The following is a 25,517-nucleotide window of genomic DNA, read 5'->3' on the forward strand; positions in this document are numbered from 1 at the left end:
TCTTTGCTTCTGTCAACCAGATGGTGCTATTGGATTGGCTACCAAGGAACATCCTTATCTGAATGGTTGAGGTTGTATTGATCTAAAAAATCTCCAGAGATAATAGTGGACAGTTGCTATCACTTCTTGGGTTCATGGACCTCATCACCATCTTATATAATTAGAAAGAGCATACCACCATCTTGGTGAGACCTCAAATATAAAAAAGAGCACCCTCTAATTAAAATACCTTATGATAAATCCGTGATTTGGTCTTGGGTTCTTATGAGCAGGTAAAAGTACTCTGTTGTATTGGAAATCATTTGATTGTGAAAAATGTTCTGACAGAGATCAATAATTAAATTAAGTGAAAAAATATATTAATCCATAATTAAGGCAGTTAATCCATTATTTATTGTAAACAACTTAAAGCTACCATGGAATTCCAACATCTGAGCAAACTCTGGTGAAATAAGAAAAGAACTGAATTAGAAAATGGGAGATCCAGGGTAAAGTCCTGGCCCTAACACTAACTAGCTGTGAGATACTGGGCAACTCTCTTTTCTTATCTAAGCCTCTGTTTTGTCATCTGTAAAATAAGCATGGGCTATGTAATGTGAAGTTCTTTATGTTTTTTCTGGACCTCACTGTCTGTAGAGAGAACCAACTGGAAATAACTTCTTTGCTGCCTTAAACCAGCAGACTTTATTTTAGGACAGAGTGAGTAGTTTGTTGCTAACAACTTTGGGGGATACTGGAGAAGGAATAACCCGAAAAGGTAAGTTGGTTGTGGCATTTGCACACTTTATTAATTTTTTTGTATAATGTATTTTGTATTAATTTTTTTGCGTAATGGTGCAATATATCCATGGGTTTAGTGTAACCATTACATACATAATGTACAATGTACCTGCTAAACAATTTCTCCTCTCTCACCTCCTTCCTACCCTCCCACCTTTCCGAGTCTCCAGTGTCTTTTATTCTACACTCTGTGTCCACGTGGACGCATTATTTAGCTCCCATTTGTCAATGAGGACATGAGGTCTTTGATTTTCTGTGTCTGAGTTGTTTCACTTAAGATAATGGTCTTCATTCCCATCCATGTTGCTGCAAAAGACATGATTTCATTCTTTTTATGGCTAAATATTATTCCATGGTACATTTTCTTTATCCAATAATCCAAAGAATGAATGTTCATGCAGGCACATATAAAGTGCTTGGCATTATTTCCTGCAGTGGGTGTGCCTGAAGGTGAGGCAGAGATGGACTGGAAAAGATTGACGTTTCTTTGACCAGCAATGCTGACCCTTTGCTCTTTACTAGAGGCAGTGGCTTCACTGTGCAAAACAAATGTGTGCTTAGTGGAGGGTACCTGAGGTCAAGGGCTAGCCATATAGATGACTATGAGGGAAATGCAGTCCGCATTCTATGATAGTCATTACTTTTTGTATATTCCGCAAAGTTTTGGTATACCATATTAATAAAACAGCATATGCAAAAGCACCTACCAGAACAGCTGTCAGAACGCAGGCACTCAATGAACATAACTTCCCTTCTCCCAGCTTCCCCATGCCTTCCTTCTAACATGTACTATGCTCTTTATCTTTATAAACCTCTGGAGCCCTCTTATGGGTCTCTGACCATTCAGGGTTCTCAGTTTGAATCTGCCCCAGGCTTTGATTTTTTTCTATAGTTTTACTTTTATAAACATTTAATGACTGTATATATTTTTCTTTCTTGAACCTACATGATATCTAGCTAGTGTAACCAAAGGGCAATTTATTTAGAAACAAGGTATTAAATTAACTTAACTAATATTTATTGAATGCGTACTGTATGCTAGTTAATATTATAGTGATGAGAATATAGTAGGAAATAAGATTAGTCAAAGTTCCTGTCTCCATGGAGCTTATACCGAAATAATGCAAAGTAGGACTATAATTAAGTAGTGGATATATTATTTTTGTCATCCCAAATGTATTTATCTGTTTCCTTATTTTATGGTTTCTATACCCCAGTATTTCTATGGGGAACTTGTCATCCTTATTTGATTGGAGTCTTAGTGGGACTGTACCTAAAAATACTCCAATCTCCCTTAGCTAATTCATGGATATAGTAAACCATGCTGGACCAATCAGATTCTCTGTTAGGTTGAGTAACAAGAAAATAATTGGAGTGAATTCAGCTCAAAGATGGCACTCAGACAAGGTCATTGACTCCTGTTTCCTAGAACCTCAGAGCTTTACTAGTTCTTGTTGGTTCCAAGGCTTTATTTTTTGGCTGTTCTTTCTGTGCAAAACCTCCTTCAGTGTTTCTTGTTTAAGTTGCTGAATGTACTTTTGTGTTGCTTGGAATCCAGTAGTCCTAACTTATACCAAATCTGGTAAAGTAAGAAGTATTAGTTTTTACAATCTCTATTAATTCCAATTCAATTCTCAGGTTTCATCCACTGAACAGACAGGAAATTAAATCTAATTTTTATTGGAAGGGGATCCTCCTTTCCCGTAGTAATAAGAACTAAGGAGTCTCTTGTCATCATCAGTCATTTTTCTACTTGGGTCATTATTGAAATACCTATTATCCCAGCTTCTGTGCCACACCAAGGACAAGGAAATCTTTGGTATGGCTGGGTATCCCTGAGTTAGGCTTCAGCTTCTACAGGCACACCATGTAAAACTTAGTATATATAAGCATATATAATTTCTCTGAAACTTTGTACTTTCCAGCTAATTATTCTGATGCAAAACCTCCCTCAGACAATTAACTTATCTGAGAGACTATGCTGTCTTTTAAGAACAGGGCAAACTATCATGTTCATTCTGTCTTGTTCACTCACCTGTCCTCTGTAAATTACTCTGGATTTGTGTACTGAACTCAAGGGAACAATTAATTTATTCATTCATTTAGCACGCATTTATTAAATTTTTCATGTCTTCCAGGTCCTGCATGAGGCTTTGAAATTATAAAGAACTTACAGCTTCTGCTTGATGATGACTCAACAGTTAGAGTGGGGAAGGTAAAAGTTTAGTGAGCTGGTGGCTAAATAATCAAATAATTTTGGCAGTGATAAGGGACACAATAGAGGTCTAAAAGTAGGCATAATGGGAGCACAGAGGAAGCTCTTGAGTCGTTTGGAGATGTCATACCAGTGATGGCTTGCAGGAGAGGATAGCTGGGCTGAGCCTTAGGAAACAAGTAGAAATTTGCTTAATATACAGGTGGAGTAGGAGTAGTACATTCCAAGCAAAGTAAAATGGAGAGAGAGAGAGAGAGAGAGGGAGAGAGAAAGAGAGGAGGAAGGAGAAGAAGGAGCAGCAGTAGGAGAAAGACAAGGACAAGGACAAGGTTGGGAAAAGGAGACTGGGTGAGAGAAAAGAATGGCACGTGCAAGAAAATGCAAGCAGTCCCACATGACTGGTATGACTGCAATGAAGAGTCCACTGGGGAACTAATGGGAGATGAGCATGGAAAGGGAGGCAGAGGACAAAGTGTGGTGGGTAAAGAATCAGGGATGAGTTTATGTCCTTTGCAGGGACATGGATGAAGCTGAAAACCATAATTCTCAACAAACTAACACACGAACAGAAAACCAAACACCACATGTTCTCACTCATAAGTGGGAGTTGAACTATGAGAACCCATGGACACAGGGAGGGGAACATCTCACAATGGGGCTTGTCGTGGGTTGGAGGGGTAGGGGAGGGATAGCATTAGGAGAAATACCTAATGTAGATGATGGGTTGATGGGTGCAGCAAACCACCATGGCACATGTATACCTATGTAACAAACCTGCACATTCTGTACATGTATCCCAGACCTTAAAATATATTAAAAAAAAAAAAGAATGAGTTTTATAAATAGGCTGTCCTGGGCGAAAATTCCAGCTTTATTTCTTTGGTGCCATGGACTCAAGGAAGTTACTTAACTCAGTTTTCTTATCTGTAAAAGAGAGAAGGTGGTAATATGTCCGTTTTAACATATTGAAAGGACTAAATGGATTTATGAATGAAAAGCACCTAGCATGGGGCCTGCCGCATAGTAGACTTCAAAGACATTTTTCTTTCCTCACTTCCCTGCCACCCCTACCCCACACACCCTGAAATCTATCACAAGAGCCATAAAACTAGAGGTTACTGTTAAAAAGTGCTTGGTGGATACATTTGGGAAGCAGTAGGAAACTGAAGAGAGAGAATGAAGCTGAATTAAGGAGAGCCTTTGAATGGGTAGCACAGATTGTACTTAAAAATCACAAAGATTTAAACATTACTCAATTGCAAGCATAGTATTGAAATGAAAACAGATACCAATGATACAAATTGCTATAATCTTGTCACTAATCAATCAATACTGTAATTTATCTATGACATTTCTATTTGGTAAATGCCAAAATCTCTATTTTCAGTTTTTACAGATTTGCAGAAATATTACGTTGGTGCAAAAATAATTGTTTTTGGCATTAAAAGTAATGGCAAAACCACAATTAGATGGCATATGTACCTTTGAATTTTTATTAAAATTAAGCCTTGATATTTTTAAGTTATTCAATAGCCTTTTTTTCTCTTCTTTATTTCTTTCCTTTCCTTTAATAATACTTTGCTGTATTTCTCCACATATTTCTCTATGTTCATAAGATACTATATAAACAAAAACACCTATACTAAGTTGATCATTTTCCTAGAAATGTAGGCCAGTCACATACATTTCTTTGCAATTTACTTTTCTTACATACAAAAATATAAGGGACCTCCAGCTAACTGCAGGACTCCCATAAGATGGAACATTATGCACATATTGAAAACTAAACATGAGATCTTTAGATCTACAAGGGATCTAAGAGATCACCTAGTCTAGTGGTTCCTGATGTCACCTCAGTTTAATTATTTTCTTAGTGGGTAGAGATTTTGAATGTGAGAGAAGTGTTGAAAGTTCTATTAAATATTAAACTGGCAATGACAGAAAAATAGATTTGGAAGGAGTAACCTGGGGCCATCTTTCAGGTCCAACTTTAATGCAATTTCCTCAGGAAGTGTTTCCTGATATCCCTGACCAGGATAAGTCCCTTTCTGAGTGCCTTAATAGAACCTTCTATTTGTTCTTTGTTATGTTTACTAGCATAATATTAATAAATTATTTGTTATTGTCCATCTTATGGACACGTTCAATGTCCATACTTACCCATGAAGTATCGTGGTAAGTATGAACATGATACTTCATTACCTAATATATTCTTGACAGATTAAAAAAGGCTGAAAAATAAATGAATAAACAGAGAATTTTTTGTGGGGGAGAGGCAGTCATACAGCTTTAAAATTTGATGCAGTGGAGTGGGAGAAGGTTGCATCAGGGGCTCAGAGACTGATATTTTCCTTGTGAATTCATGACACTTAATGTTAAATTCCCTAGCATTTGAGGAACATAAGCTTGCATTTATTGGTGTTCTTAGGAATGATCAGACTCTCTGTATGAGGTTCGCAGTAACCGAATATATAGGGATATTGTTAATTTAAAATAGAAGCTGTCTCTTTAAAGTGCTTACATCCTCAACACAAGTCACCCTGTTTGTGGAGACTTGAAGTAGTACTCAATTGCTTGTTTAGTGGGCATATAATTAGAACAAATGGAAGGTGATGATCTTGAGGCACATTTTATCTAGGTTGCCTTGTGATCAGATAAAACATATTTACCCCACCGCAGAAAACAGAAACTTTTTTAGTGATCCAATTGCAGTCTCTCTGATGTACCCAGAACTACTTTAGATCCCTATAAAAATTGTTTTTACACTTATACATTATTTCTTTGTGTCAACAGCACAATTAAGCTTTCTGGTAATATTTTAAGTAAAATATTGTACATTTGAGAGACTATCTCCTCTCATTATGTATTGATTTAATTCATGTAATGCTCAATCTTATTTCTTTTTGTATTGGTTAAGGTTCTTCTGGTTAAAAGTAATGGAAATCAATAAGTCAAAGAAAAGGTAATTTATTGGAAATACACCAAGGTAGCTCAAAGAAGGGCTGGATTAACCAAACAATAGTGCCTTAGGAAAAGCAGAAACAGTGCCAAGTCTGGGGATCTCAGTGGTGAACCTTGTGAACTAGGATGCCATTCCAATGGCATCTACTACGTTGTTATTCATTTAGCTCCTAGTTCATGAGTGTGGGGGAGGCAGATCTCTATTTTCCTAATTACTTCTGACTATAATAGAAAAAGATCAAGAGGATTTGAAATAGAGTACAGTTAGTACTAGGAATCAAGACAACTTTTTTTTTTTTTTTTTTTTTGAGTAGCTTCCTCGGAAAATTTGACAGGACATTGTGGCTAGCTGACTATGAGACAAGAAACAAAAGGATGAATAAAAAACGTTAACTTTTACAGCATGAGTTATTGAGAAAATAGTAGTGTCGTGAGTAAGTTTGGAATGTGGAGTGCTTTTTAGGGGGAGGAGATTATTATATGTTTGGCTTTATGCATATTTGAATGCAAGATGGTGAGATGTCCCCGTTAAGATTTTTAAAGGGAGTTATAGTGAAAATAGAACTGGGAATATAAAGCTAGTGTTAGGATAATCATGAGAAAGAAATAACTCTCTCTGGAGCTAATTTTGTATGTATTTCACTCTTCTCATTTCTTTGAACATAGGAACCAAGCCTTAATCATTTTTCAATCTCCTAAGGCTTAGCACTTAGTAGGTGGAACTAAAACATCATTTAGACATTAAATTGAGTGACTCAGAGAGAAAAGACCAGAGAACCAAGAATAATTTCCACTTTCTCTTGGGACTTGTTCAAAATGTTGTCTTCCTTTTTAAGGCTCTGCCAGAATAAACCTATTTTAGAGTCTACCTCTTTTGATAACCAGAGAGTCAACCTGCACCATTTGTTTTCTCCAGTTAGGTTTATGCAATTTGGGAAAGGTTTTTTCATTTACCTTCTCTTGGTTGTTGGACTCTTTGCATTACAGTTGCTTAAGCCATAACATTAGCATCTTGAGAGAAAACAATGAGGGATTCATTTCAGTCTGCATTTTCCTTTGAATCTGACAAAAAGAAGAACAAGTCTGGAAAGATAGCATCCCAGAATATTTTTGCTTACTCTTCACTATTTAATCAATACTTCCACCAGAAGTAAGACAGAATGTCTTACTTCACATTAGAAGTAGAAACCAGGTTAGACATCCTGATAATAAGTGACCTTATTGTGGAGATGGATGAGGATGGATAAAATATGGATTCTATTTGGTTTCATCTTAACTGCATTTATTCTATCCCCATTTTATTGCCCATTCATTGCTCCATGTCAGTTCAATTCTATTCTATTTCGGCTTGAGATATACCCACAATATAATGCTAGACATTTTTAGTCAAAAGCATTTTCAAATCTTGTCACCAGATTAGTCTTCTCTTCTTATGCATTTCACGTTTCCTGTAGTAAATTATAGTGAATTTAAACTTGTAATGGTTTTCAACTTGTAGACCTTAAACATTTTATTAAAAGTGTAATATAATATCTTGGTAAGGGTTACCACTTTATAATTATTTCCATTGATAGGAAAGTTGATTCTGAAGGCAACTTAGTGACTTGCATAAAGGCATGGAGTGATTTAGCTAAAAGTTGGACAAAGTGATAAAATCCATGTACAAATGGCTTGTTCTATTGTTAAGTAATACAGTTTTTGATGAGTGGAGTTACTGAACTTTTCAAATAGATTAGACTCTTCTGATTTGGAAACGTATTTGTGGAAAATGCCAACAATTTCTAAATGATTTTTTAAAAATTCCATTGATTTTTAATACTTTATACTTTTTCTTCCAACCTCAACTATAAAAATAAAATTATTCACTATTTTCTATCAAATTTCCTTTCTTATGTTGCAATAATAGCCAAACTACTGAGCATTGTGTAGAATTCTGCTAACCACTTTACAAGAGAGAGATTTACATAAGATTCTTTTGGTTCTGGCTTGACGTGAGGGATTAAGTGTTTTCAACACTGTAAACTCATCCATAAAACAATGTTGAGGTGGGTATAATTATTTTCATTCCTTAGATGAAGAAGCTGAGGCTGAGGAGGTTATTCAGTTTAACCTAAGGTGGTAGTCGTGAGTGGCAGTGATAAAGGCAGCTGTTAAACTGAGTTTAAGAAACTTACTGCAGCATCGTAAATACTGCCTCTCTTTGTGCCCCAACTTCCATTCACACTCTATTTCTGTTATGCATGTAGCTAACCACCACCTACTTCAGGATCAACTGGAGGACTTGTTAAAAATAAAAGATGCCCACCTCTAACTGTAGCAATTTAGATCTGGCAGATCTAGTGTGGCCCAAGAATATGCATTTCTAATAATCATTCCTTGCAGTTAATTATGCACAGTAAGCTTGGACAACAATTGCCTTAGTTAATATCAGAAAAATGTTCATGAGAAAGAAAACTTTAAAAAATCTTTATTCTTAAGTATTGTTTAAATACTTTGACAAATAACTGGTAATATTGCCCTAAAAACTCTTGCCATGTCATCAGTTGAATAAAACTACAAAGTTTGAAAACTCTCCAGGACGTGACTTAACATTTCTGATCTCTAATATAGAAAAAATGATGACAGAAGGCACAACTTGTCGGCAGGTTGAGAGATCATGGCCTTGGGGCTGAAAACCCTGGGGAATCAATTTTAGCCATAGAGGGCAAAGACGGGGGAAAAAAGTACGAGCTCTGGAGAACAGATAATTCTCTGCCAGTTTGTAATTTTGAACAGTACTCTTCTGCCAGCCTTGGCTCCTGTGGTTTCTATTTAGCATCGTGTAATGGTCTCTCAATTGTCAAGTGATTTACTAGTTATTTTAGGATTTCTGTTTCTTTGGTACTTATTATTCCATGCCTACTGAAAAACTGAACAATAAAAGTAATCAATTGGGAACATTTTAATGAGGCAATCCAACCCAAAGCTTTGCATTCAAGTGTTTGTTCAAATTTGAGGGGGTTATGCCTACCAGCTCTGTTTTACTTGGCCTACTCAATGAGAAAAGACAAAAAAGAAGAGAGAATTTCTGGTAACTTTGAGCTGCAGAAGTAAAGGTCGTTTATCGGGAGGAGTTAATAGTAGAATGCTCTTTGGACAGATGATGTGCTTAGATTATTTACAATCCACCACCAAAAAAGATTTGGAAACAAGATTATAATTTGCCATTGATAGGAGGTGAAACTTTAGCTAGATGGTAGGATCTCCTGGATGTTAAAGTTTAAGTACACATGGATAGTCAAAACGCTATTTTTTATGTTTCTTTGTGTGGTACATGGTTTTCTAGACTGCATTATTCTTGTGAGGTGAACACCTTGAATACAGTTTTTTTCTATTATTTGTTGGGAAAATGTATACTTCCATGTTAAGTTAGCAGCTCAAGTTTCCCAGGTCAGCGAGAGTAAGATTTTCTGATTGGCTTACATGATGCTTTCTTCCAAGGATGTGGAGTACTGTTAACTCTGAAAATCACACAATTCTTTGGTATTCTTTTAAAGTTAGGTCTCTGATTAACACTACATTTCTGCATCATGGTTTTTTTATTTAGGGGCCCTGGGGTGAAAGCTTAAGCATTTCATTAGTCTTGACCAGATCACAAAGAACTATGAGGCATTTTAGAGAGCATTTAAATAATTTTGGAGGGTTATTAGAGAGTTCAAAACGTTAAAGTGAAGCAACAAGGTCTGTATCGTTGCCAAATTTCAAGAGAAAAGGCTAATTAGTCTTTGACCTTGGAGCTATTTGGAAGGGGAATGTGTTGCTTGGAATGTATTAGATTAAAAATTATTCTGAAGAATGAAGAGAGCACCTGATAAACTACTATATGAATGGCTTTATACTTAGCAGTTCTAAATTCCAAATTACTCTTGTTTTTAAATAGTTATACATAAATCTGAAGTAACTGCAGATTTTTCTGTTTCTCTACTGTATCCTCTTAGGACTAGGGTAATGACTAGAAAGGGAATAAGTATAGCAATAGCTAACTATGTCTTTTTTTTTAATTAAAGTTTTTTTAGGTCAAGAAAGATAACCAAATGCTTTAAATTTTCCTGTAGTGGTATATGTCCCAATGCTCAAAGTTTTGAATTGCTCTATTAAATTAAATTACTCACTAGTTTCGAAAACATTGGTTTAGAAAATAACTATTTCTAAATAAACATATGTGTTTACCAGTGAGTTTAATGCCAATAAAACAGTTCCTATTCAGGGTGCCTTATATCTGGTAAGCAGAACTACCAACTGGGCAGAGGGCCAACCCACAGTCCAAATGGGAAATATTTTTTAAAGTTTTGATAGGACACAGTACTCAGTTTTAAAGATCATACTCTGATTATGATTGACCGGGTCTCCTAGGTTAAACAGGTCTTCAAGAAGGTGATCCTGCAAGAACTAATCTCAGTTATTATCAAGCTAATGTGGGTAGTGGACAACACCGTGAAAACAAGGGGCCAATTAACTTGGGAAATGTGGGGAAGAGCAACGGTGAGCGGGGAGGGAAGTCGCTTTACAGGTGTAAGATTTTCTTGGAGAGTAGTGTGACCATGAAGGACAGGGAATTGCCACCTGGTGAGGTCTATCTCTGTCTTTCCCATACTACTTCCTATGGATGAGTCGTCTGGACTCAAAGAAGACCTTAATCCATGGAAATGGTCTCTGGTTTTCTGAAGGGTTAAATGTAGATACAGTAAGGGATTTGGAGAATTGAAATCCCATGAATAGAGTCTTGAGATTGCAAAAATAACAACAATAACAGCAAACAGTAGCTAATAGTTCTCTGACACTATATGCTAGACACCATTGCATGCACTCTGCCTAGAAATCACCCATTTAATCTTCACTACAATGCTATGACACAGATAATATCATTATTCTAATTATACAGATGGAAAACTGAGGTACAAAGAGGGTAATTAGGCAATTTTCCCAAGTTCACTCATTTAGCAAGTGGTAGAGCCAGAATATGAACCAGGAAGTCAGGCTCTCGAGTCTGTGTTCTCCGGTACAAGCTTCACAAAGGAGGGCATTTCCTAAGACATATTTGTACCAGTTGAAGCTGTGCATATCAAGATTCATTGGGCTGTAAACAGTGATAACATGCTTTTTATCTGACTCTGTAAAACTATAAAAACTCATATTTTCTGGAAACTAGTCACTTTAAGTAATTCCTAGTTTTGCAGTTTAGAGGCTTCTTGGATGATCCCTACAGCTGTTTCTGGAAGGAACCTGAGGGATCATGCACCAGACAGTGGCCTACCAGGGGGCATTAATCAAATGATCATTCATAAACACTGTGGGAGCAAGTTCATTTCAGAGTAATCAGAAATTATCTTTTGTTCCTCCATCTCTTCAAAGGAAAGCCACTGGGAAACAGGGCAACCAATCACTAGAACTCTCTCCACTTGGTTTAATGAGACAGTGAATCGTTGAATTAAGCCAGTGTCCTTAAGCTGCCCTTAGTTGGTTGCTCCTTGATTAGTCAAAGTGTAATTTGAGTGATACAGCCATGTTGGATGTTCCTGCCACATATTCTGATGAGTTAGCACTCTGTTGCTGCTGTCACACAGCTTCTTAAAAGAAGTGTCAGGATACCCTGTGGGGAAATAAGCAGTGTTTCGATGGCAAAGAGACTGCTCGCGAGGGGCTACTCATGGATACACATGTTGCTTAGGCGTCCAGCCAGCCCTGCAGTGATTGATGGATGTTCTGCTCCCTTCTGGTGTATCTTCACTTGTGCTGGGAAAGGGATGAAGGGCACCTTTGAAAGAGGAGGAACCACAGTAATCACTTCATCTCTCTTCTGCTTAATGCAAACTTACTCTGGAAAGATAAATGACTATCCACTCCTGTAACAACTCCTCAAAATCATTACTATATATTGCTGTGGGCCAGATTTGTGCATTTCTAGGATTGTCCCACTGTGGCAGTTATCGGCTGCAGTATGTAGCATTGATTGCATGTTTTTGTTAACTTGAAAGTATCTTAGAAGGAATAAGCAGTAAATTTTGAAGAGGTCTCAGTGAATCTACTTGACATGGAAATATATAATTGATGAGACATTGTAATGGGTTTAAAATTTACAGTCATAACTCAGGTATACAGAAATGAAACATTTTATTTTTCTGTTACTGAACTTAGGTCAAGTCCCCATTTGTTCAGTTGGCTGAAAACAGTTACTTTTGCTGTTTCAATTTAATTTAGTCACATACAGTTTATTCAGTCAAATTCTACGTTCTCTTCCTGGTCCCTTCTTTGATTATCCTTATAGATGATCTAAGTTACTGGGTGGCTTATAGGTCATCCTGGCATGAGGGGAGGAGTGTCCTATTCCTTGGGTCTTCTTTGGTCCTTGCAGACTTTTGCTGAGACATAGCAGTTCTCTTCTAGCTTGGGGACCTCATGTATAGCATCTGGTGTACTGGGTCTGCATGGGCCTGCCTAGGCCTCTGGACTACATGCTCAGGCTCTACACCTCATGCCCTAACTCTGGCTCTCTTTCGGCAACAGGCCCACTGAGCACTTCCCTGTCTTTCCTCAGGGGATGCTCAAGAACTCATGGCTACTTTCTGTGCAGAAAATAGACTCTGAAACTCTAGGAGGCTTCTTAAGCTCATCTGCCTGAAACATACCCCAGCTTTTGTGGTGGTCCTTCTGCCATGCCTGCCATGCTGCTTTGGTGCCATGCTGAGTGAGGGGTTTTCCCAAGGGCTTGTAGTGTTTTCTGGCTATGCTTTGAGAGCAGGTTAGGCACCTACCCCTGTCAGAATGATTCAATAGGCTCAATCTCTCTTACCCCGTTCCCCTCCCAATCCCTCCACATATTAAAAGCTTTCTATCTACCTTTTTGCATTTAAAAACCTCATGACCTCATGTTTCATCCCTTCTTTAAGTTTTATACTATAAATGCTATGCTGAATCATTTGAGCTCTGGCTCATTGGAACCCACAAATCCCCCTTTTCACAATAATACCAGAAAGCCTAGCATTCCAGGTTTGTCTCAGCTACTGACTTTAAAAAAGCCAGATTTGAAGATCAAAGCTGATGAATGACAATGTGATTCTCTGATGTATTTACCATCTCCTCTGGAAATAAGGAATGCTGGTGTTTGTTTCAATGGGTAAGGTAGGAAACACAAGGACTCCTGGGGAAGAAAATACATCTGCTAATATTTCAAAAACATTATCCCAGCTATAGCACTTTCTCTTTTTTACTACATGTACTTAAAAAAAGTTTAGTCCCTTCTCCCTTTTTCCTTGTTTTTTTTTTTTTTTTTTTTGATAATGACATTGAAACTTCCTCATTATTGGGTAAAGTTCTACGCAGCATAACTCCTGCTTTTCCAAGTCAGATTGCTGCCCACCTACAGACCATCTAAAGTAGGTGCCAACTGTGAGGGAGGTGCTATTATGATCTTCATTTCTCAGATGAGAAAACTTATTTGGAGAGATTACATCCAGATGCACTCAGCTCATAAGTGACAAAGTTGGGATTCATGGTCAGGTCTGTTGACATTATCCTGCCATTTCCAATGCAAGTCTATTTCAGACTTATCATACATGTATTAAGTTAAATCCATCCTGAATAGACTACATGGAGATTAAGTTCCTGCAAAATGACTTTATGTATACACAATTTTTAAAAACTGCATACAAGTTTTAACTTGGGGAGAAATCAGTTCTCTAGTTACTAATAACCTCAATTTTTTTTTCTGGATAGTTTTAAATATATGTATTTTGATTTAAATAGTGTTTAGGTACTTTTTTTTTTTTTTTTTTGAGATGGAGTCTGGCTCTGTCGCCCAGGATGGAGTGCAGTGGCGTGATCTCGGCTCACTGCAAGCTCCGCCTCCCGGGTTCACGCCATTCTCCTGCCTCAGCCTCCCGAGTAGCTGGGACTACAGGCGCCCGCCACCATGTCCGGCTAATTTATTTTTGTATTTTTAGTAGAGACGACAGGGTTTCACCGTGTTAGCCAGGATGGCTACGATCTCCTAACCTCGTGATCCGCCCGCCTCGGCCTCCCAAAGTGCTGGGATTACAGGCGTGAGCCACTGCGCCTGGCCGTATTTAGGTACTTCTTTAGATATAAGCCCCATGGATTGGCAATCCAAATTGAGCTAGTAGATCTTCAAAGAACACTGGAACTACAAATACCAACTGTGGATATTTACTGTCATAAATAACACTTTTGTAGAGAACACTTTAATTTGCCTGATCTTATATCCATTAAGAGAGAAATGAGAGTAAGAGAGAAAGAGCGTAAGAATAAATCATTGGCTGGAAACCTTAAAAAATTTAGATTACTTCTTAGATTAAAGTTAAATAGTACCAGATAAATAAACATGAAAAGAAAGAAGCCTATGTGGTGATTTCACTGTTTCACATGGTAGAAACATAATCAGTTGAAAGTCACTCATGAATTTATATCATATTCATGAACACACCAGAAAACCAAAAAGATATAAAGTCCACCATTCACTTCCTTAATGATACCAGATGCATTTAAATAGGAATTTCTTAAACTTTTGTACTTTGACATGCTGATAAGCTCCAGAATGATATTATATATTAGCTAAAGATGAATTATGGGTTTTGGGTTTCCATTTCCTTAAATCAACAGCATGTTCAGTTACAGCACATTGCTAAGGGTTAATTTTCAAACCAATGAGTGGTGAGAAGGGCTAGTGAAAATAAAAGGGGAAAAACCCAACTATAACTGGTAAAACTCTTTCTATGTGAATAATATTTTTTCTTTTGCATTTGCTGTGTCTTCTGGAGGAATGACAGTTGTGTAATTCAGTCTGGTTGGAGAGACAGGCATAGGGTTAATAAAGGATTTGTGTATGGGATGGTGTACTCTAGCATGAACTGCCATCCTCCTCCAGTGGTGTGTCTGCCACACATAAGTAGCATAAATAACATCTGCCAAAACAGCCCTCTGAAGTATTAAGCACTGACATACCCGAATGCTTTCTAGGTGTTACAGGTGTACTGTTCAAGTGCTGTTTAATTGCAGTCTTAATCAAATATGATAGCCTGATTCCAAGGTGAATGTCTTATACCATTGATTTGTAGTAAGTCGCCACATTTCTTTGAACAGTGTGCCATTTTATATGAGAATTATAAAACAGCAATGATTATTTTAGGATCAGAGATGTTGTGATTCATCAGGTACTGTTGATGGATGATGCATTTGTGCTTAGTCTGGCCTTGCGCAGAGGCTCGAGTAATTTGTTATCCTACAAGACATGTGCTGTTTCCTCTTCCATACTACTCCCCAGTGCTACTAATATTTTAAGGCTAAAGAACAACACTGTATTAGATAGAACTACAGGCTATATGTAATGTTAAATATATGTATTTGTATATATGTGTATATCCTCTGCTATACAGATCAGGTATCATGCTAAAACCATATAACTCTTAACTGCATTTTTCTGGTAATTAGCAATGGATTATCTTCCCAAAAAATATGGGTTCTTCAATCCTCCTGGTCTTGGGGAGCACAGAATGATTCATTATCTCTTCTACATTAGCCACTTTGTTTGTGGCAGGATTTGAAATAGGAATATAGGTTGTATAATTACTTAATGAAATTCAAAATTAATAAGATGCCATTTTCAGAGTTTTTTATGTTGTTCTAATATGTTCTTCAAGTTTTAAAAGCCATTATAAACTTTATAAATTCCTATATTTCCTATTATAATAAAGTCTGTATCCTTATTTCTTTCAATATTTATGCAGATACATACATAATTATAGTGCCACATTTGAAATATCCTACTTTTGTATATTACAGATTGCATGAAATAGCCCAGAATGGAGGTTCAGTTGATCTTTAAGAGAACTCAGGAGAACTGAATTTTGTATTAGCTAAACTTATTTAATATATTAAAATGATATACTTATACATTTTAATTTTAATCCTTTACTTCATTTTCTTTTTTAAATAGAAATTATCTTGTCTACAATAGCAATTTCTGTATTGGTGTTTTCTCAGGTAATGACATTGATCCCTATTTAATTACTATTGCATAATTAAAAATCAGCCCTTTGACATCAGTGGGGATGGTAGGGCTACAGTGTACAACTTATTAACTTTCAAATTATCCAAAACATTTGCTTGCATTTTGTTATAATTTCTGTATGATAAGCATATTGGAGATAAAGTAGAAAATAAATATTATATATTATCATACTTTTAGATGACCAATTTTAGCTTCATATATTTTATCGAGTTTCAGTAACATGAGCAGTGTATTGCTTTGTTCATCATGTGAAAAAATTGAAACATTACAAATAAGTTTAAGATCTTCCTATGGGAAAAAATAATTTCCTCTATCAGAGGAAAAATTTATTACTATTATGATAATACCCCTTCAGACCTTTTTCTAGTCACTTACAGGTAAAAATTGTAGTACTGGTTGGTACATAGTGTATTTTATTAATGTTTTACTGCGTATATTGTTGTATAAATTGCTTTCCGCACTCATTGGCATGCCTTAGAATTCTTTTTATTTAGGCTTCATGACTAATTTGTAGTGGAACCTCAAGAAGATCACTTATGTGCTTCACTTTCCACATATGTAAAATGGGAATAACAACAGAATCTGCCTCATAGTACTGCTGAAGGGTGACATGGGGAACACCTGTGAGGCATTCAGAACAGAGCCTGTCATACAATAAATGCCATGTCAGTGTTTGCTCTTATTCTCAGTATACAGAGATCTGCTTTGATCTTTTCATCTTCTGCAAAATATTCCACAAATTGGCATATTGTGTTTTGTAATAATCTCTATTGATTATTTTCAAGCAAGATTTGGAATTATCCGCAGTAGTTTCAAATGTACAAAAAAGTACCTTATTTTATTTATTTTTTAAATAACTGATCTGATCTACGAGTCTAATCTGGTAAGTTTTGTCTTGAGTCCAGTAATGCAGTCCAATACTCCATTTAGGTAACCCTGTCCTTGCTTGGTCAATTTGTTCCACTTTTCCAAGTTTGACCTGCTTACCCTATTCCTCTTCAAGAGGGCATCTGGTTGTTTAGTTTACATGATTTAGTGGTGCAGAAGGAAAGGGTAATCAGATTGATGTATCCTCTGAGTCCTCCTTGATATCTGCAGAGCAGCTGAGCTGGTCTGCTCTCTGTGCTGTTGACATCTGCTCTTTGGGGCGTTAGGGGGTCTGGTCATTTGTCCCTTGTCTGTTATGATCTACCTGCAGTGGTTTTCTACCTTGTCCCCAGGCTTCTTAATTCTTCCTGTACTCTCAGAACCTCTGTGTTGTCACAACCAGACTTGGGTTATTTTGGGTCCCCAGTTTCCAGGCCCTGAATGCCATGGGCTCTGTCTCAGGAATAGGTATCTGCTGGCCTGCTGCTGTCATTTCTACTACATTGCTCCTTTACTGCCTTAAAGAGTGGTCCTGGATCAGGGGTTGAAAGTGGAAGTGGAAATAAAGGACGCTGATGTGACGTCTGTGTTTCCATTCTTCTTCCTACCACTTCACCAGATGTGAAAAATTCATATAATCTGAATCCTCTAGTTTGAGTTATGATAAGTTAAAGCAGTTTAAGAATTTAACGAACTCCCCTCTCCCTGATTAAATCTACTTGTTAGCACTGTGTTCTTACTGCAAATCCCGTTGCCTTGCCAGAAGATAAATATTAACTTTTTCTTTCTCTTTGCCTTCCTGTTGTAATAATTCCAAACCACCCAAAAGAAATAGGTGAGTTTGTGGAGAAGGTCAGTAAAATAATTTCAAAAGGGAAAAGAACATTCATGCATTTAAATATTATTCCCACTGGTTCATTTATGCTGCAATGAATATCTATATATCTATGTATGTATCTATCATTTTGTGCACATGTTTTAGTATTTTTCTGAGTTTCATCCTGAAAAAATGTAATTGCTGTAAGGTATGCACATTTTACATTTCACTGTATAATGACAAATCATGCTACAAAGTGACTAGACCAATTTATACTCTTGCTATGAGTCACTGAGAGAATTCTTTACTAACACCAGATATTTTGCGTAACTTATTCTGTTTAAATTCTATCAGCAAACCTCCATAGTAGGTGTATTCCCATTTTGTATATGAAGAAACTGAGGTTCGGAGTTAAAGCAACTTGTTCAAGGTCACACAAATGGTAAGTGGGTAATTTCGGAACCTTTTAAAATAAAACATAGAAGCCTACTATCTTATTGTTCCATTCTAGAAATATGTCTGTGTTTATAATATCGACTACTTTGTATTATTTTAAACTTTATAATATTGACTACTATTATTTTCTTCACATCCTAGTTAAGAATCTAGGATAAAATGGAAAACGATATCACGAAATGGAAAAACAATGTTATTCCTTAGTTAGCTTAGTTTAAACACCTATTTAATGGTCAAAGGCAAGTAGTTGACCTCCCATCTTTTTGACTCACAGTCATTAGTTACACAAGAAAAGCAGAACAAAACCCAGCTGGATGGAGGGGTGGATATGCAAGTAGCTTTCACACTAGGAATTGTGAAGCCTGAGGCATAGCCCCAAGACTCAGATCATCGGGAGTGCACTCAGTCCAGAGGGACAAATGTTCAGAGTCTGCATCACCTAATATTACAAGCATCTTTATTGAGACTGATAGAAGTGAATTTCTCAGGTCAGAAAACAGAAGAGCTCTTTTAGCTGAGTTGTGATATTTAAAAGTCTCTCATTTTGAATTTCTTGCCTGGCCAATCAAACTGTCCTCCCAGAACAAATTGTTGGATAATGAAATGCATATAATGTAGCTTGAGAGCGCTGTCCCATTTGCAGCACTGGCTTCAGCCTGAGGCACATCTCTGGCTGCTCCTTTCTATCTATAAGTTAAAGCAATGGCCTCAGCAAGCAGTACACTCTGTACAGCAGCTGCAACTCGTTATCGGCTTTGTCCAGAATAACAAACAGAACAAACACATTTTGCAAGGGCTTTTACCCCTCTTATGTAGAGAAGGAGGAATTAAGCAATCAGTGAAATGCTGATTGATCAGTTGTGCTGACTAAGAGAAGTCCAAGGCCACATTAGTACTATTAAGCCCTAAAAAACAAAGCAAAAAGAAAATGTTCTTAGAACTTTATTTAAACCAGTATTTCTGTGATGTGAAGTACATTTCCCCCAAAGGGAAAAATGGGAAAATATTTGCATTTCACTTAGTACACTTTACTCATCCAGACTGCTTTGTAATGTAATGATGGTTAAGTATTTTTACAAAGATAATTCATGTTTTTTGGCAGATTTTGGTTGATCATGGAGTATCAGGGTTGTGTGAACCAAAGGTGTGATGCAGAGCAGCTTTAGTAAACCATCCCATTCCTATGCCACCCGTTTGATTTCAGTACCAACTGCTGTGGCCACATCTAGACCACTCTTTACCAGAAACTGTGCCACCTTCAAAATTCCAGCATCCTTTTCCCCTCCTCCCTTATTTTTTGATCTCATATACTCAAGTATTCTTAGTGTAACAATTCTTTGAGCATTCTTTCTTATCTAGCTTAAAATCTAGGGTCTACCATTATAATCATTCCTTTCAAGATAACCTTAACTTCCACACCCCAATTTCTAACTGGCCTGGCAAAACTCAGACCTTTGGTGCAAAATCCTCCATCTCTATGCCTGAGCCCTTGTGTTTGAGAATGGCTGAAGAAAACCATGTGCATGGACATTCTGATGTCACTATAAATTCATGGTCACGGATCTCAAATGGGAGCCCAAGACTACTGGCTTTCCTGCTGTGGTTGTCTAATGACAGCATGATCTTACTCTTCACAGATATTAGTTTAAACTCTCCAACCTTCAATTGAAAAGTCTACATCTTACTTTATTAGAAAGTAGAAACAATCAAGGGTTATGCTCCCATTTTCACACTACCAAGTAAACAAACCTTCAGTAAGAGAAGATATATTTCCTATATCTCCTCCTACCCTCCTGTTAAAAGGGTGCAAACGTCCCCCCTCCTAACAAAAACCAATCCTTCTTCATGCTCTTTAGATGCCGTGTTGTCTCTCTTTCTCAAAGTCTTCATTTTTTGGTTATACTCTTTCTCTCATGCAAATTTTTCTCTCTTTTTCAAGTAGAGCAGGCTCAGCAGCCTACAAACGTGTCTTGGGCACCTTTCATCAAAAAATAAAAAACATAAAAACAACAAACGAAACCCTTCTTGGCTCCACATTCTCATCCAGTTTCTATTCTTTCACTTAGCTGCTTTTCTTCTCATGTTTTGTCTATTTTTTAACATCCTAGTCACTCTCTGATCTACTTCAGTTTGACTTCTACCTCCATCACTTGAGTAAATTCAATACATGGTTTCAAGTATATTCTAGCCCTAGCCTGATCCACAGGGAAGGTTCTGGACCACAAGCAACATGGCAGAGTTGTTCACTCTTGAGGTAAAGGAGTTTGGCACCTCATGCCCCTATAATGGATTAAAGAAACACTCCTTAATCGGGGTTAGTCCCTGGGAAAGGTTTTAGGTGTGAGCAATTAGCAACCATCACCCACAGTGGCTGGGAGAGGGGGGCACTAGCCCAATAAAGAGGATCTAAGTAGTGCACCCAAGCAGGTCTACCACAGTTAGCTTCCTATGTGGGCTCACGTTGCATGCAGTGCATCTCTATACAGCAATTAATCTATTTCATAATATTAATAAAATAATTTCACTTTCCATGTTAAAATCCTTCAATGACTTCCTATTGCACTATAAATGGCAAATCAATATGTTAACATGCCCTGCCAACACCTACAGGGTCTGGGGTCTGATTGCCTTTCAGATCTCTCCTGATAATCTCCCCTGCTTGGTTCAATATCCTTCTGTTTCACCAGGAAGATATCATCAATTTCCAGCTCAAAGCCTTCACATATGATGTTCCTTCTGGCTGGGGTGCTTTTCCTCCCACATGACCCATTTAATTAATATGTATCATTCACATCTCAGTTTCCTCGGACTGTTTTAAGCATCCAATCTAAATTTTGTTCTCCACTATTATTTTCTAGCAAAACAGCCTACTTTATTCCTGCAGAGTTTGTAATCATATATTGTAATAAAATTTGTAATTATATATTGTGAGATTGATTACTAAGCTGTCTTAATATACTGAAAGCTCCAATTCATTTATATTTCTTTAGCATCTCCCATGAGGTATCATGAGGTTTGGGACCATGTCATTTCATTTCACCATTGCCTAATGGGGTATCTGGTATGTAATAAAAGATACTCAACTTGTTGAATGAATAAATAAATGCATAAATGATGAATAAATTAGATACACAAAATTAGGACGTCAAGAAAGAATCACTTCCCCCCCTCCCGCAAGTTATTCCTTAACAATTCTCCTAGGGCTATCAGCACTGGGACATGAGAGGTTTAATCAAATTTGTGTTCCTTTGGTGCTCTCTTCTGGGATCATAGGGCTTGATGGATATTCTCTCATTAACTCGTACACATCCCTGCCATTTTTGTGACACTGATTTGCGCAGTTTTTAGAGAAACTGGGAAATAGGAAGATTAATAGACTTGGCTGAGGATAGAATGAGGTTATGACAGAACCAGGGATAGAGTGTGCTTCTACTTATTGACTAGCTTAGCATGCTGCACACTTGTTAGCAGTTAAAGAAAACACATTGGGAATCAGTCCATGTCAGTAGGTACGTAATCCTGGAAACTTCCTTCTGAAATGTATTACTATAAATATTCTTTCTCTGCACACAGCTCATTTGATGAGGTACATCTTTAGGCCAAGAGCTCTTCTTGATGATTAATCCTACTCAATTTTCTTATGAGAAAATGATGCACACAAAGGTTAAATAACTCAGCCACTGTAATAGAATGAATTCATGTCAAACCTCAGCTCTGAGGCTTCTAGTTGACCTGTACAAACATGTAGCTGTTTTCCATCTTCATTTCAAGAATGTTTTATATATTTAATATTAAAACTCCTAATTCTGCTTGTTGCTGAGCTTAACTCTATGTAACATTTATATATGTAAATATTACTTGAAATAGTTTTAAAGCCACAAATTATTTTCAACTGGATTTAATTAGAATTTTCCTCGTACTAGTTTGAGAGGGTAGCTATTCCTTGACAATCTTTTTCTTCAGGCTGAAATATAAATGCAGATAAAATTTGGAGCAGAATTCTGCCAGTTAATTTAAACTGGGGTATGGCATTCTGAAGTATAATATAATAGGTATGTAAAAATGGTTGTTATATTTAGTCTTAAAGTTTAAGATATTTAGGGAATGTATTTACTGAGGAAATACGTTGACTTTGAGAATTTCTTTATGGAGTTGAAGTGCCTAGTACATTTTTTTTTTCTCCTCATACTAATTCTAAGTCAGGTGGTCCAACAAGGCCTCTCATCCTATTGGTATTACAGTATGACCTGTCTCCTGAACTTTGAAGCCATTTCTTTCCTTCAGAGGAGATAAGAAAATGTGTCTTATCTTAAGTCTGGAAGAAACACGGAGCCCAGTATCAAGGGAGTGGAGTAGTTCTTTTCCCAGACGTAGCACAGGGTTTTTCAAGCCTGAAGAAAAAGATTAATCTCCTTAAAACAAGGCTTTGTTGACTTGGGTCTGGTCATGGCAATCCTGTTTCCAGCCATCCTGTGTATAAGCTCTAACGGTCAGAAGTTTGTTTGCTTTGATTTTGATGTGGCTCATCTTTTCTTAGCTGCTCATATTCAAGATTTGGAAAAGAAGGAACGGTGGTGAGCTGAGCAATTAATTGGATTCTGATAAGGAGTTCTGGAGAAATTTTATTATTCCTGAGTTTTAAACCCGTGTAACTTTAATATAACTTTGGTATGAGCCTTTACATTTTTTCTCTGTGTTTTTGTAATTATATTGTGGCATTCTTATTGGGTGTGGTAGTAGCAATAAATTATAAATGTATGAATTTATACATTATGGATTTATAATTTCATAAGTTTTTGAGATTTTAAGACTTACTATTTTTTACACGATGCCTTATGTATTTATAGCATTTAATATTAATCTAAATTCATTTTGAGATATATTTTATCATGCTTTTATCTTTTATATGTTATTAGAAAGCACTTGGTATTTTAAAAATATATATTAATGTGAGATTTCACAATTTATACCTTGTCTTTGTAGTCACATGCGTAGAGGATATTTACAATTTTACTCAAGTTAATTTGCTCAGTGTTGATCATCAGACCTTTTAGCCAGTATTGGCTGGGAAAAAAAGTGTAATTCTTTTTGTTCTCTTGAGAATTTTTTGGATCTAAAGTGATTCCTAGGGTGTGGGTCAACTTCTATGATATGAAAGATGACATGGAGGTTTTTTATTTTGTGAAGTGCATTAATAGGTGATCACATTTCATCCTGGGAGAGCTGCTGGAGAGGAATATTGATTTAGCCTGTTATGGTTGAGTCTTTGGGGTCTTGAGCTTCTTAGATTTTTAGTTCTTTTTGTTATTCTTTATTGTTCAATCTTGAGAGTAGAAAATACACATTTTTGTCCACTTCTAAGAATAAAACTGAAAGGCTTCTCAAGAGGGAGCTTTTGAGGGACAAGTCTGTGTTCCAGACTTATTTTTATTCTCGGATCTAGCACCATGCTTGGCATGTAAAAGGGCTTTAATAAGTATTTATAGAAGGAATTGAAGAATTAATTATTACTTATGGACTATGAGAGGTCATGGTTGTTACTCTTTCTAATTTGTCGATATTAAACAGAGACAGTGAAGATACTAATTTAGATCACACAACGTGAATGAAGCAAACAAAAGCCTAAAGCTTTAGAAAAATGAATATATTATATTTTTAACTTCGCACTGTAGTTAAGCAGTGTGGAGCTATTTAATGATTTCAACCAGGAAGATATTAATGTGTGAAATAAGAGTACGTGGACAGTATATTAATTGTATGATACAAACAAGATATACATACATAAAGTTCATTAAAAGAGTATGATTTCATATGGCTTTGAAGGATTGATAGGATATAGACAAATTGATAAAATTGATCTAACCAATATTTAACTTTAGGTTTCTTCATCAGATAAAATATTGCATCATTTTATGTTGGCTAAGTGATTTGCAGTCTATTTCAATTAATTATTCTTTATAGTTTTTCTCTGTCAATGCCATTTAATAAAGAGAAAACTTCAGCAGACAGAAGTTATATGATCTTTGGCACTATTGGCTGTGTGTTAAGCCACAGTAAGGTTCAGTTACGTATTTTATTGTTTTATAATCACACATTTCTCCTTTGATTCATTTCTTATCTACACCCCTTCTTTCACATCCTAAATATTTTCTTTGGATAAATGTGTAGGGCAAGATGAAGAAAAGAAGAGAAAAAAGTAGTCAGAGCTTGGGAGTACTGAAACGCTTTGGACTCCAGCCAGCTGCCATCACTGAGGTGGTGAAAGAACACCGTAGTATAACTGGATGGCCCTGGTCCCTGCCAGGAGTCAGGATGGACTTTCAGTGTTGAAGAGCCATCTTGGCCTGTTACTAGCGCTGCCCCACACCATTGTGTTTGCCTAAGAGCTGAGCCAAAGAATTTACATATGTATGAGCCAAGGTCTGAAAATAGAAGTTAAAAAAATGGTGCTAAATTGACATATTTGCTATTTTATTTTTTTGGTCAGTTAATATGATAAACTTTTATTTAAATGTAAACATTATTTTAAAAAGCACTTTGTTTTAAATAACTGATTTTCATTGAAATTAATTCTGGCCTCTAAGCAGAGTTAGCTACAAAGACAATTTGTAAAAATGCAGAAAATTCAGAGTTTAACTTGGAGTTGTTTAAAGTTTATTTTCATATTTGAGTCTGATATTTCAGTTCACTGTAATATTTCAATTTATTTAAAATATTATCAAGACAAATATTGGGTTACCTTCACAATATTTTTTTCATTTTTCTTACCCCATATATTAAAAATGAACAAAAATGAAAGAATTATATAGTCTAGTGGATGGCAATTCTCTTGGTACAGTACTCACAGGATGTCAGAAGTGCTTTGATTTGCATGCAAATAGAAACTGCATTCCTAAAAGACCCTTAATTGAAGATATTAATAATTTTCATTAGGTTTTAAGTCTTTTAACCTTATCATATGGATAGAAAAGTAAAAGATGTGTTTAATAAAATGTCTTTTACTTATTTTTATTTGTCATTTATTTAAAGGTTTATTAGTGAATCTGTTTACCTGGAAAATGTGCAATTCTATTTGCAAATTTGGAGCACTACATATATTTAAGAGAATCCTTAGTTTCTGTTGGGAGTGGCAATATTTTATAACTGGGCCTTCATATTCCTATGTTACAGCCCTGGTCCCTGAAAGTCCTACAGCTATCTTTGTTTCAAGTGTGTATGTGTTATAATAAGATAAGTGTTAATTAGTTAATCAAGTACTAATTAACCTTTTTAATTTATAGAAAAACAGACATTTATGGACAAGTAAATTTTTGGGGTCAAAGTCTTTAATAATTTGAAGAATGCAGTTATTTTTAGCA

The 25,517-nt window shown here is 36.3% G+C and overlaps 1 protein-coding gene across 3 annotated transcripts in view, besides 1 other annotated feature; it reads left to right on the forward strand.

The window, feature by feature from the left end:
* The window catches only part of CPS1 (carbamoyl-phosphate synthase 1), a 201,423-nt gene that overhangs the window by 44,887 nt on the left and 131,019 nt on the right, over positions 1-25,517 (forward strand). The window lies entirely within an intron of this gene.
* Positions 18,164-18,743: an enhancer, noted in NCBI's record as "NANOG hESC enhancer chr2:211405459-211406038 (GRCh37/hg19 assembly coordinates)". NCBI's record gives its function as "activates a minimal SCP1, AML or CMV promoter by ChIP-STARR-seq in naive H9 embryonic stem cells {active_cell/tissue: H9 hESC(naive)}" and the evidence as "EXISTENCE:reporter gene assay evidence [ECO:0000049][PMID:30033119]".

This window comes from Homo sapiens, chromosome 2 (assembly GCF_000001405.40).
Source record: "Homo sapiens chromosome 2, GRCh38.p14 Primary Assembly".
Classification (NCBI taxonomy): Eukaryota; Metazoa; Chordata; class Mammalia; order Primates; family Hominidae; genus Homo; species Homo sapiens.